Source organism: Homo sapiens, chromosome 1 (assembly GCF_000001405.40).
Source record: "Homo sapiens chromosome 1, GRCh38.p14 Primary Assembly".
NCBI lineage: Eukaryota > Metazoa > Chordata > Mammalia > Primates > Hominidae > Homo > Homo sapiens.
This window is the reverse complement of record NC_000001.11, coordinates 187,086,064-187,101,145: the sequence shown is the minus strand read 5'-3', so window position 1 is coordinate 187,101,145 and position 15,082 is coordinate 187,086,064. Positions and strand designations below refer to the sequence as shown.

General features: G+C 36.8%; 1 long non-coding RNA gene across 1 annotated transcript in view; it reads right to left on the bottom strand.

The window, feature by feature from the left end:
- The window catches only part of LINC01036 (long intergenic non-protein coding RNA 1036), a 267,403-nt gene extending 259,099 nt beyond the window's left edge, over positions 1–8,304 (bottom strand). Inside the window, exon 1 of the long non-coding RNA NR_126347.1 lies at positions 8,200–8,304. This is a non-coding gene — a long non-coding RNA (long intergenic non-protein coding RNA 1036). The remainder of the gene's footprint in view (positions 1–8,199) is intronic.
- Positions 8,305–15,082: the final 6,778 nt, after the last annotated feature.

The following is a 15,082-nucleotide window of genomic DNA, read 5'->3' as shown; positions in this document are numbered from 1 at the left end:
TTTGGGGAACTTTCAAATTTAAATTGTACTTGAAAAAAAATCTCACTGGAAATAGCCATAATTAGGTATTTGGGAATACATACATGGGTTTAAATTAAATCTAATACTATTCAAAATAGAAAATATACAAACCAACTGACTACCTCGATTGTATGCCTAGCCTTCACTTAACAAGTTTATTGTGCACTCATTTCCAGGATAATTATTTAAATTCAGTAAGATTTTGATTCAGATATGATTTGTCACAGGCCTTTTCTCAGGAAAGAAACTAATCCAGAACTTTATGTATAAAAGAAATATGCAGAATAATTAATACTGTAAAGTTGGAAATAATCTTGATTTGATAATGAAAGTACTGGGATTTGATGATTTGGAATAATCATTTTAACTTTCATCTCATTTTATGTAATTACAAAACATGTCACTTGTATTACATTATGAATGCATTAAAACAAATTGCAACTTCAAAATGTATCATTTGATGAATTTTTCAGTAAAGAATTATTTTGCAACTTAAAGTCATCTTTACAGAGATAATTCTGAAGTTATATATTTAATGAATTTCGGGGGGGTTGCCTATACAAAAATATATGTTCTAATTTTACTTGAAGGATGAATGTTTGCCTTAGTAATTTTCTGCACAGAACTTTCTCTTCTTACTGATGACCTAGAGTTTGCCTGTAGAATAACAATTACATTTTGTTAGATCCTTTCAGAAAATAACTATTTCCATATACTGAGTACTTACTGGATATAAACCCTATAAATGTATTATTTATATTTTTCACAACAGTCCTTAAAGTAAGCACTATTATTTTCCAGATATAGAAGCCTGTCCAAGATGACACCACTAATGGGTGGCATTACTGGCATTCTGTTCAAAGATGTAGGACTCTAGGACATATGCCACCCTTTCAAATGTGTTTATGAAAAGTAATTAACTACACAGAGGATTAAAAATGAAAAAGTTAAAATAATATATTCTATAAACTGAGGTCCAAATTTTAAACAAAATAGTTACAGAGCTATTATTATAGCATAGTGGTTAAGACAGTGAGATTTGGAATTAGATTCAAATATTGGCTCCCACTGTTTGCCATCACTAACCTCTATGAGGTCATCACTAGCTTCACTGTTTTCTATGACATGAATTTGATAAGAATAACACTTCCTAAAGCTATTGTAAGGATAAAGTAAAATCCTGAATGTTAAATACTTATTACAGTGCCAGGTATACAGTAGATGCTCAATAATTGTTAGTAGAGATGCTAAGTAGCACATCTTATGCAGACAAAGAAGGCACAATCTTCATGATTGCCTAGCAAAACAATGAAATTCTGAGTTTCATAGCCAGTGTCATACTGAATGGGAAAAGCTGGAAGCATTCCCTTTGAAAACCAGCACAAGACAAGGATGCCCTCTCTCATCACTCCTGTTCAACATAGTATTGGAAGTTCTGGCCAGAGCAATCAGGCAAGAGAAAGACATAAAGGGTATATAAATAGGAAATGAGAAAGTCAAATTGTCTCTGTTTGCAGACGACATGATTGTATATTTAGAAAACCCCATCGTCCCAGCCCAAAAACTCCTTAAGCTGATAAACAACTTCACCAAAGTCTCAGGATACAAAATTAATGTGCAAAAATCACAAGAATTCCTATACACCAATAATAGACAAGCAGAGAGCCAAATCATGAGTGAATTCTCATTCACAATTGCTACAAAAAAATACCTAGGAATACAACTTACAAGGATGTGAAAGACCTCTTCAAGAAGAACTACAAACTACTGCTCAAGGAAATAAGAGAGGACACAAATAAATGGAAAAAAAATTCCATGTTCATGGATAGGAATAATCAATTTCATGAAAATGGCCATACTGCCCAAATTAATTTATAGATTCAATTACTTTAAATTTCATATGGAACCAAAAAGAGCCCATAAAGTCAAGACAATCCTAAGCAAAAAGAACAAAGCTAGAGGCATCACGTTGCCTGACTTCGAACTACACTACAAGGCTACAGTAACCAAAACAGCATGGTACTGGTACCAAAACAGATCTATAGACCAATGGAACAGAACAGAGGCCTAAAAAATACACCACAAATCTACAACCATCTGATCTTCTACAAACTTGACAAAAACAAGCAGTGGGGAAAGAATTCCTTATTTAATAAATGGTTCTGGGAAAACTGGCTAGCTACATGCAGAAAACAGAAACTGAACCCCTTACTTAGACCTTATATAAAAATTAACTCAAGATGGATTAAAGACTTAAATGTAAAACCTAAAGCCATAAAAACCTTAGAAGAAAACCTAGGCAATACCATTCAGGACATAAGCTTGGGCAAAGAATTCATGACTAAAATACCAAAAGCAATTGCGTCAAAAGCCAAAATTGACAAATGGGATCTAATTAAACTAAAGAGCTTCTGCTCAGCAAAGGAAACTATCATCAGAGTGGACAGGCAACCTACAGAATGGGAGACAAATTTTGCAATCTATCTATCTGACAAAGGTCTAATATTCACAAGGAATATCTACAAGGAACTTAAACAAATTTGCAATAAAAAAAACCCATCAAAAAGTGGGCAAAAGATATGAACAGACATTTCTCAAAAGAAGATATTTATGCAGCCGACAAACATATGAAAAAAGCTCAACATGACAGGTTATTAGAGAAAGGAAAATCAAAACCACAATGAGATACCATCTCACATCAGTTAGAATGGCAATCATTAAAAAGTCTGTAAACAACAGATGCTGGCAAGGCTGTGGAGAAATAGGAACGTGTTTACCCTGTTGGCGGGAATGTAATTAGTTCAACCATTGTGGAAGACAGTGTGGTGATTCCTCAATGATCTAGAACTAGAAATACCATTTGACCTAGCAATCCCATTACTGGGTATATACCCAAAGGATTATAAATCCTTCTAATATAAAGACATATGCACACCTATGTATATTGCAGCACTATTTACAATATGAAAGACTTGGTGCCAGCCCAAATGCCCATCAATGATAGACTGGATTAAGAAAATGTGGCACATATACACCATGGAATACTATGCAGCCATAAAAAGGATGAGTTCATGTCCTTTGTAGGGACATGGATGAAGCTGGAAACCATCATTATCAGCAAATTAACACAGGAACAGAAAAACCAAACACCACATATTATCACTCATAATTGGGAGTTGAACAATGAGAACACATGGACACAGGGAGGGGAACATCACACATCAGGGCCTGTCATGAGGTGGGGGGAAGGGGGAGGGTTAGCATTAGGACAAATACCTAACTCATGCAGGACTTAAAACCTAAACGACAGGTTGATAGGTGCAGCAACCACCATGGCACATGTACACCTATGTAACAAACCTGTATGTTCAGCACATGTATACCAGAACTTAAAGTAAAATAATAATTAATTAATTAATTAATTAATTCTGAGTTTCAAAACGTAACTTTGATGTATCGTTTTACTATTTCCTTTTTTGTCCTTCTGATACTTTCATTCCAGCTTTGTTGTTGAAATAGAAGATAGTAAAATGGTTGCAGAATCTGGCATTTACTTACAAGTGCTTTAATTTGGCATGTTAACTCTCTTGTGAGAGCCTGCTGTTTAATAATACATTTCCAGGAGCATATCTTTTAAATTAAGTTGTTTACATTTCAAATGCAATATGGTAAAATGCAAGTATATTGCCATGATTCCACAGCCCTAGGTTTCATACCTTCAGATTCATGGAAATAATGTTGTGGTTTTTTTTCTTTACATCTCCCTTAACAATCTTAACAGATACATGAGTACCATCTTTTGGCAAAAATAAATCACGGATTTAAATTTTTGTAATGGTTATCTTTCAACTGTTATCTTGAATATGGTTATTCTAAACTTGACTCAATGCAGATAAAATTGAAACTGTTACATTGTCAATTTTTTTAAAGTGACTTTACCCTTGAATGAGTAATCTGAGCAACTTATTTATCTCTTTCCACAAGCACTCTAAAAATAAACAGCAGAGATATAGTTTTCAAATATGTTTTGTGGATCCAGGGTCATCCTACCTTTTTGCTCATGATATGCACCCATCCAAAAATGCCAGACTAATGTAAGAGCACTAACTCCCTAAGAATTGTGTTATGTGTGCTTGGAACTTGTTGCAAAACGACTCAAGATCCCTCCAGAATTGCCAGATAATGTCCCACTAATGACTGATGCTCCTGCACCCTGAATCATGCAGTTCCAAGGCTGGATCCAACCCTCTGCATTTCTCCACACTGCACACCTCTGCCAAGCTTTCTGCTCGCTCTTTTTCTACAGTGACTGAGATTGTGAAGCCCTTTGCTATTTACTACATTCCTGATGGTTTAATCATTTAAAAAATCAATATGCCAAAAATTTAAAATCCTGAATTTATATACATCCAACTTCTCAGAAGATTAAGTTGCATGATTTTAGTAAAGTCATTGTTTTATGTCCCTGGAGAGGCAATAAAATGAGAAAGAAAAACTTGTTATATTCTTATTTATGCATGTATTTGCATGCAACAAAATGTAGCGAAGACAATTTGTTTTTTGGAAACAATTAAGAACTTTACAATTATTATCTTTAAATGTTAAAATATGTTAACCACAATTCCTAGAAATATAAGATTTTCCCATATCTTGAAATGTATGTGTTAATTTTATTGGGAAGAGGAGGTGTGTCAGAAGCTAAATGTCATGCTCTTTCTTTTTTTTAATTTTGTCTTATCATAATATAAAAGAAAATTTGAAAAACATATTGGGGCATTAAGACATAGTTCAATGTATTGTTTTTAAGAGTTTGTACTTAATACAGTGTAATGACTTCTTAATAGAGCAGTATAAACTCAAATAAATTACCAACTCAAAAACAATACAAAAGGGTATATTCATAAGTAATATAATACTTGAGTAGAAGACACTTGATATGATTTTGTCTTAGGTAAGGCACTCTACCACCACGGTAAGGTAGAGATTTGTGAGCAACAAGTTTACTGAAGAGCACACTTGGGACCAAAATCTGAGAGTAAAAGGGGGAAGCAAGATTAGGCAGAGGAAGTGATCGAACTGTGATACAGTTTAACAGAGGTGCAAGCCAGGCCCTTGGAGAGCTGTGGAGAAGCAATGGATCCTCAGAGATGTCCCAATTTAGGCAAGGAAACTGGGTCATTGTACTGCCATATTTAATAGTCATCAGACATAGGCTGCCTCCAAAGAAAGAACATAATTTTGTGCAAAACAGCTCATTTTGACCAAGTGCAATTCCCACCATCTATCAGCAGTCAATACTCCCAGCATCTGATGAATGCATGCTTCTAACTTGAGGGGGCAATCTAGGTGGTACACTTCAATATTCATCACAATGCTATATAGTCAGATAAGGGAGGAATTTTTTGTTTATATTTTTAGCCTTAATTTTAGCCTTCCTCGCTAATCTGACATATACAATCCATCCTTTAAACTCAAATACCATATAATGCAGAAAGTTTTATATTTACAATAAAGTCTAAGATAAATCTTAAACAAAAAGACTCTTAGCTCACAGTAGCTTACAATTACCATGTCTTGAACATAACAATCAGTACAGGTCTTTGTGAAACAATACAGTTTTAATGACCTAATAAATTCCTATGGCATTATTTTCAGTGCCATTCTTTTAGCATCATGGTTCCCAAACTATGTGTCAAGGTATTCTAGAGCACTGCAGAAACTCCTTGGAGAATCATGAGATACTTTTAAATTGCTAGGAAAAGAGAGCAATGTCAGGCAGCATATGAACTACGACCTCAAGGGAGTTCACAGTTTTAACACTGGATTATAGTATATATATTTTTTTGATGATGCAGTACCTTTGCAGAGCTGGGTTTTCTGTGGTTTCTAGATGAAAAGCTGTTACCATGCAAAAATCATTGTGGAATGAGAAATGAGGGTGACAAGGCCCAATCCAATGCTAACCTTTGAGAAATTCTGTAACACCCAACAGAAGAACATATCCCATTGATAAGTAATGGTGATTATTTAAGAAAGAAATATGAAGTATTTTTTTGAACACAAGTGTATTTCTTTTTAAATGGCAACTGAGTTGTTAGTACATTAATATGTATGAGCACCCACAGACACTGTGAGAAATTACTGAGTCACTAAAGGTGGCATGAACCAAGAAATTTTGGAAACCTCTGTTTTTAGCATTTGATCACAGTGGGGAAGAGAGTGTTCCAAACCGAAGAAGCTGCATGTGCAATGGCCCTGCACTGGGGGAGTCCTTGACACACTTAAAAGCCAGTGTGTTTGTCCTATACAAGAGAACAGTACTAGTAGTATCCGTGGACTAGAACTGTTCAGTGCTAGTATCCATGTGATGATGGATTGGCACAAGACGATGTGGCAGAGCTAGAGCAGGCCAACTCTGAAGCACGTCATAGGCCTAGCTATTGATTTTACATTATACCTTGAAGGCAATAACAAGGATTTTAATTTAGGAAGGCACATGATCAGAGATGTGTTCAAAAAGATAATTCTGGATGTCTCTATCAATAATACTGCATACTTTATAAATATTTGAGACAATTTATTGTCCAAGAGAGACATCACGAGGAGCTAAACCAATATAAGTTTAGAGTTACAAGGTCAGATTTTATATATATTATTAAGAAGGACTGGGCCGGGCATGGTGGCTTATGCCTGTAATCCCAGTACTTTGGGAGGCTGAGGCGGGCAGATCACGAGGTCAGGAGATCAAGACCATCCTGGCTAACACGGTGAAACCCCATCTCTGCTAAAAATACAAAAAATTAGCCGGGCGTGGTGGCGGCCACCTGTAGACCCAGCTACTCGGGAGGCTGAGGCAGGAGAATGGCATGAACCCGGGAGGCAGAGCTTGCAGTGAGCTGAGATCATGCCACTGCACTCCAGCCTGGGTGACAGACTGAGACTCCATCCCAAAAAAAAAAAAAAAAAAAGAAGGATTGACCATAAATTGGATGTGAGACGTAAAGAAGAGAAATTCAAGAACCAGGTGCCCCTAACTCCCACATTACCCAAGGATCCACTGTACACAATAAAGTGTATTTAAAAAGAGAAACCTACACCCACACTACACTTCCTTCACATTTAGCTAGATGTTAGTCACAGGTAAGGCGACCAATTCATTTAGGTTTGCCTGGGATTTTTCCAGTTTTATTACTGAAACTCTCACATCACAGAAAATTCCTCACTTTTAGGCAAATCAGGATAGTTGTCTACCCTCGCCACATGGTCACATCTAGCTGGAAGAGAGAACAAGTAGTTTTTAAGCCTGTTGAACAATGAATCCAGATGAACACAGAAGTTCTGTTACCAAGGAGGAAGAGGAAAATGGATATGCAACTACCATACAGGAATGCAATAGATATGAGTAAACAATTAGCAATCTTCTGTAATGATTAGTGATCAAGGCGGGCATGCCAAATCTCACAAGGTAAGTAGAGAAAGAGAAGGTTATTAAGGAGATTGAAAAAGAACCATTTAAAATGTAGAAAAACAACAGCAGGTGAGGGAAATTATAACAGCAAATTTCAAGAGGATATATTCACCCTATAATCAAATGCTATAGAGAAAGCCTGTCAAGTATCCTCTCTTAAGTTTTATCTAAAAAGCAATACAACCATAGGATTAAGGTAGGTACCTAAGGAAGGTCATTGCAAAGACATGAAAAGAAGCACAGAAGAGGAGGGTAAGGGCAAATGAAAACAAACTTCATTTCCATAGAAAACTTATCAATATCAACATTGGATTTCATGCCAATCCTGAGAACAGGTGTGCTTCACAGTTTTCCAACACTAGCGCTTTAATACTCCCTGAGGACACACATTTTCTTCTCCTTGGAAACCTTCCTTCCTTTAGCAGAAAGCTTTCTACAATTTAGGTGGTCTGTCCTGGCTGCAGTTTTCTTCCTGGCAACCTCACATGGTACCTTATCTTTGTCTGTGGAAGGCACCGCCCACTGTCAACATCGGTTCAGTGAAAAAGAAAGATTCAGGAGCTTAATTCTCAAATTCTCATGTCTGTGGTCATAGATGCTTGACATGATGTAAAGAGACAGAGATTATGGTATTTGATGCCAAATGAAACATAATTTAATGGTTTAAAGAAGGACACTCAATTACTTCACCACACCAGTGTTTATCTTACCAAAATTTAGAGTCCTGCTGGTCCAGTGGCTCACACCTGTAATTCCAGCATTTTGGGAGGCCAATGTGGAGGATTGTTTGTGTCCAGAAGTTTGAGACCAGCCCGGGCAACACAGCGAGATCCTGTCTCCACAAAAAATCAAAAATTAGCTGGGTGTGGTAACACATGCCTATAGTTTCAGCTACACTGGAGGCTGAGGCGGGAGGATGTCTTGAGCCCAGGAGGACAAGGCTGCAGTGAGCCATGATTATGCCACTGCATGATCATGTTGGGATACCTTCCCACATCACCCACCATTTTAAATAATATTAAATCAATAATTAAAAAAAAATGAAAAATAAAGTTCATGGACTACCCTCAGCTTTTTTCTTATCTACTAGCTTCCTACCACCTTCACTTCTTTCTTCACTTCGTTTCCTGTTCAGCTTTGATTTCATGGCCCATTCACATCAACTACACTTTGTTTCCATATCCTGATCTCCCCTACTCCTTCTACTCCTGGCAAATCAGCACTGGAGCACTGCTAAAGAAACTCACATTAAACTCCTTGCCTATCTGCCCTTCACAGAAAGCTACTCTGTTCTCAAAATTTAGACCACTTCCTCCAGTCACCTGCATTGTAATCTCAGCCGGAAATCTCACCTTCCACCTCACAGATCAAAGAGAAGCTATCAAATAGGAGCTACCCAACCCCTGCACAGCTACAAAACCTGCCCGTAATCATGGAGGAGGTAGCTCGCCCATCTCCCCATGTGTGCACGCCACTCTATTTTCTTTGGCTTTGCCTCTTGCAATATTGTCAATAACCCTCTCCTGCACCCCATGTTACCTTTTTCCTTTCTTAATTGACATCCACGCATAAGCAGACAAAAATATCTCCATATACTTTAAAAAAAATCCTTTCTTGATTTTTTTGTTGCTAACCTATATACACAATCAAAGGTTTTGAATGAGTTTTTTATGTTCCCTATCTCAGTTCATGCTGCTCCCAATGATTCTGCAATTTACTCCAATCTGGATTCTGCTCCTATTACTGCACTGAAATGACTTTCAGTGTGGTCATCAGTGACCATTATTTTGCTGCAGCCAATAGCCAATGAATATGCCTTATATGCTGTTTGCTTACACTATGAGTCAGGACATGATAGAGATTAGAAGTCAAAGTATCCAAGTTCAGATCATGGCTTCACCATTTGCTACCTGTGTGACTATGGGCAAATTTGTTAACCTTTTAGTATTTTATTTTATTTTATCCATAAAATGAAAATAATAAAAGAACTTACCTAATAGAGTTGTTTTGACATGTTAATTAGAGAAAAGATAATTAGTATAGTGTACGGCACAAAATATATGTTGAATAGATAATAGTTTGTGTTGTAATTATTTTTATCCTTCCCTTGAGAGATAATTCTCCAGGGATTCCACACATTTTTGCACATCATGAAAGCAGAGGCACTGATAGTCTTTTGTTCTGGAATGTATTTTCAAGGATTTTTGTACATGGTATCTTCTTGGAATATAGGGACTCCTTTGAGAGGGGATCCATTATTTGCTGTCGCATAAAATAAAGATGTCCCCCTCCCAGGCAAATATGGGCATCTTTGCTTGCAGAAAAATACAAAAGACTAGGATTTCCTAAATCCATGAGCTGTGATGCAAGCTCTCTGTGTATGCCACACTCACTGAGGCCCACTCCTTACTGCCCCCGTGCTGCTTGAGCCTGCTCAGCCACAGATAATACAGTCCTTTGGCTCTGGCTCCAGAGTCTCATGTCTTTGGTTAGTACCCTTGAAATTGTGACTGAATAATCTGTTAACTTGCAAGTAGGTAAAATCTTCCATCCTTCACAGTTTTTGACACTTCTTGACACATTCCAGCTTTGGAAACTTGAGACATTAGTGAGACTCTCTGCTCTCAGAATCCATCATGGTGCAGTCTTTTTTTTTTTATATACTTTAAGTTTTAGGGTACATGTGCATAACGTGCAGGTTAGTTACATATGTATACATGTGCCATGTTGGTGTGCTGCACTCATTAACTCATCATTTAACATTAGGTATATCTCCTAATGCTATCCCTCCCCACTCCCCCCACCCCACAACAGCTCCAGTCTACAGCTCCCAGTGTGAGCGACGCAGAAGACAGGTGATTTCTGCATTTCCAACTGAGGTACTGGGTTCATCTCACTGGGAAGTGTCAGAAAGTGGGTGCAGGACAGTGGGTGCAGTGCACAGAGCGTGAGCCGAAGCAGGGCGAGGCATCGCCTCACCCGGGAAGCGCAAGGGGTCAGGGAATTCCCTTTCCTAGTCAAAGAAAGGGGTGACAGAGGGCACCTGGAAAATCAGATCACTCCCACCCTAATACCGCGCTTTTCCAATGGTCTTAGCAAACGGCACACCAGGAGATTATATCCTGCACCTGGCTCAGAGGGTCCTACGCCCACAGAGCCTCGCTCATTGCTAGCACAGCAGTCTGAGATCAAACTGCAAGGCGGCAGCATGCTGCAGTCTTGACAACTTCTCACTCTCACTCTTTCTTACTCTTGTTTGCTTTTTACCCTTAAAAAATAATCACGTCTGCAATGTGGGCATTTCTCAGAGTTTTGTCTCTCTTTATTTCTCCACCTTAACTCCCCTACACTGCCGGAAACACTCCTCTCTCCCTCTATGGCTTCAGTTAACATCTCTATGATAATGACTCTAAATCTGTATCCGCAATCCAGGTCTTTCTCCCAACCACAAAAATGTCTACCTAATTGATTGCTAGACATCCTGACTTGAATATCTCAGAGGTGCCTAAAACCCAACCTGCTGAAAACTGAATTTATCATTGTCTCTTGAAAAAATGCTTCTGCCTTAGTATCTTCTGTTTCAGTGATGGAGCTCCCCAGCAGCCTCCTATTCCCCAGGCCACAATATGAGTGTCATCCCTCCCATTCACCCATGCTGTCAATTACCAAGCCATTTATGCCTCCAAAGCAGATTCTGAATACAATCATTTTTTACTATCTATGCTGATGTCACCATAAACCAAACTACTGTTAATAGCCTCCTAAATTGTCTCCTTTTTTTCTTTCCTGTTCTATTCCATTTATTACATAGAAACACAGGAATCATTTTAAAATTTAAATCTTGTTTAAGTAAGTTTAAATGGTTTCCCATTGGCTTGATGTCAAAGTCCAATCTCTTCAAATTGGCTTACAAAGCCCCGAACTCTGTTCATTGCTTCTGCTGCTTCTTTCAACATTCTGCTCCTCAGACATACTGGACTTCTCTGGAATCTATAAATGTGCAAAGCTCTATCTTCCTCCAGGCCATTGTCCATGCTGTTGCTTCCTGGGATTTTCAGGTGTCCCATATTAATTAGATAATCTATTTTATATCATCCTATCCTATAAAGTAAAAATTTGAAGAGGGATGTATATGTTCATCCCCTATCATTAAACAACAGCTTTAATGTGCAACTATCTGCTTTGATAATGAACCTAAATAGTTACGTATTTTGTGACTAATATGTAAACAAATGGCCTTCATAATACTGACCAGAATGAGTTTCCTATCAGTATAAGGGGAAAAGCAGGAGTTGGTGTTTAGGGCAGATTCCTCTCCTGTTCTGCAAGTAAGTGTTCCGTGTGATGAGCTCTTTTGGTCATATAGACATATGTCTGTACTCAAAGTACATTAGGAGTCCAATGTCAAATATGGTAGAATACTAAGTAATGTAGATAACACTATTATTTTAAAAGTTAAAGGGGGAGGGTCTTTGCTTGTAGGTATGGTGAAGTAGCTACTACGAGACTAATACACCCACTGGAACAAAACAAAACACAAAACAGCTGTTTGAAAACATCAAAGAGTGGCAAAAGACAGTCAAAATTCCAGATAAAAGGGAAATTTATAGAGGTGAATAAGAGCTTCAGAAACATTTATAACTTTGAAGTGCTAGTCACAGGGACATACCAGAAAAAAAAAAAGTTGCCTAATAGTTGGAATAATCTCACTGACTTCAGGGAAAAAATTAATTAAGAGCTGTAAAATAGACAGATTTTGAGAATTCAAGATGCTGGAAAACAGAGAGAACCACAGATAAGTGAAACAAGCAATCTATATGAAATTGCCCTTAGAAGCATTTGTTGGTTTCCAAATTTCACATACACAAGGACAGTCTCCAAAAAAAAAAAGCGGCAAACAACTGTAAGAGACTAAAAATCAACAAATATTAGCAATTTCCCGATGTTGGAAATGGAGTCCAAGGTGCACTCATGAAAGGGGCTACGGTAGGCAGCCCAGATATTCAGTGAAAAACCTTAAAGGGCTAAACTCTAAGAATAAGGCAAACTCAAAAGGGACTTGACTTGACTAAACATGGTCTGACTGCCTTCTCTTCTCTTTAATAAAAAAATTAAATGCTCTTCAGAGGAGGAAAGTGTTACCTGGAGATTTTTAAATTGTCAACACACCATGTCCACTATTCAATAAAAAACAACCAAGCATACCAAGAAGTAGGCTAAATGACTAAAAATTAGAAAAATAGCAGAAAACATACATAGATCCACAGGGGACCTAAATATTACAGTTATCATACATGGACTTTAAAAAAACTCCATATATTTAAGCAAATATATATTAAAGTAGCTATTTAATATGGTTCAGGAAAATTGGGAAAAAATTGGAGAAGTTCAATGGAAAACTAAAATCCATAAGAAAATAATCAAATGAGAAAAATCACATAAATAAAAAAATGCAATAAATATAATAGCAGAAATGATACAGGACTAATAAAATGAATTTAAAACTTGATAAAAAGAAATTACAGTACAAAACATAAGAGGGTAGAAAATATAGAAAAGGGTTTAAGAGACATATGGGGACAGGGTAAATAGGTCTCACATAGATGTACTCATAGATCCAGGAGAGAGGAAAATTAATTAGAAAGAAGCAATATTCAAAGAAACTGTGCCTGATAAAATTGTATAACACTGATAAAAGACATCCAGCTTAAGATTTAAGAAGTTACCTGAACCTCAAACAGGAAAATTATTTAAAAGCCACACTTAAAAAAAAAAGAACAAAACAACAACAACAACAACAACAACAAAAACAGGCAAAAAGTTTGAAAAACACTTCATAAAGAAATATACCCAATCACCAGTAAGCACCTCATCATGGCCAGCAAGGCTCTGCATGGTTTACCCAAATCTACCTCTCAGATCTCACTTCCTACCACTCTCCACTTCAACCATGAACCTTCCTTCCGTTCTCAGAATAAATCCAAGTCCATTTCTGCCCTAAGCTCTACCAATATGCTTCTCCCCTTGTTTGGCGCATACTGCACCCACATCTTTATGTGACTGACTTCACATTAAGAGGCAGCTCGTCACTACCCAAGCTAATTAGCCTCCTTTCCCAGTCTCTCTCTGCCATATCACACTATTTAGTTTCTTCATAAACCTTCCACTATGTAATATCAGCTCCTTTGTCTACCAGTTTATTTCTTTATTGAGTGGCTCTCCTCAAGGCATGTAAACCTCATTTGAGCAAATATTGTCTGTCTTGTTCAACATCATATCTCAGAGTCTAAAAGTCTTTAGCCTGGCATGTAGTACATGCTCAATATTTGATGCTCATTTAAAAATGAACATAATACTAATCACCAACTTCAAGAGCTAAGACCTCCTCTATTTTATTGATCTGTACCCTTCAGGGTCCAGCTCTGTTTTGGTACCTATATAATTACTTCTTGACTAATTGAATCATCACTTATTTTTGTATTTACTGGATTCATGCAGCTTTAGAGCTTGACCGTCTATTTTATCACTTTATTTTATACTCAACCTACTGAGAATTAGAGGTCCAATTATTTGAATCTACATAAGGTTAAAAACTCCTTGAAAGTAGTCATGTTTATATCTACTATACCACATACAGTTTACTGAATTCTATTCATTGACTTACAGATTGATCAGTGATGGATTGAAAATAATAGATTAAAAAGAGGAAATATGGCAAAAACAATTTATAAATTAAGAAAAATGGTGATAACAGAAGGGAAGTTGTAGCTCTCTAAGCATTTGGGACATATCACTACAATTCTTTATAGGAACTCTCCTCATGTAGAGTTCTAAGGGTCATTTTCCAGTTCATTTTTTGTCTATCTTTTTTTCTGTATCTCCTCACTGAAAACAAATGGGACTTGATATGCTGGTGATTGTTAACGTCTGACTGCCTTTGAATCACTACAGTTTGGTCTGTCTCTAAAGCTGAATTGTTCTGTCTGAACCATAAGAGAAAGATTGTTGTGCTTGGCATTTTCTCACCTTTTAAAGTGATCCAAAGCCTATGAATTCTTTATGATCTGCTAAAATCTTTAGTCCTTCTAGTCTTCCCTGGATGATCTAGCCCCTATTGGTCTTCCCTCAACACTTCCTCTGTATCCTTTGAGTTCTTGGTATATAGATCAATAAATAACTTTTTAATATTCATTGACTAAATGATTTTTTTAAATTGCCAAGGTAATTTAGTATGTAAGTAAGAAAACAATATATTCAGAATCTAATGGACAACAAGTGTGTTTCAAGCATTTAAAAAAAGAAAATACAGAATCCATAAATAATAAGGAAGGCAAAAGATGAAAGATGAAAGACCCATGAAATTAAAATTGAAGCAAAATAAAAGGATATGGAATACAAATGGAAGAGCAGACAGACTATCACTTTAAAAACTGAATATAAAAAGAGTATTTACTATGGTTCTAAAAGGGAAAGTAAATCATTTGTTACAGCAAACATTATTTAACTTTGCTGTAACAACATGTGAAGGATTACAGAACAACATAATGCTCCTCAGATAGAAAGGCGACAAGAGGCAGTGAATACGAAGAAATT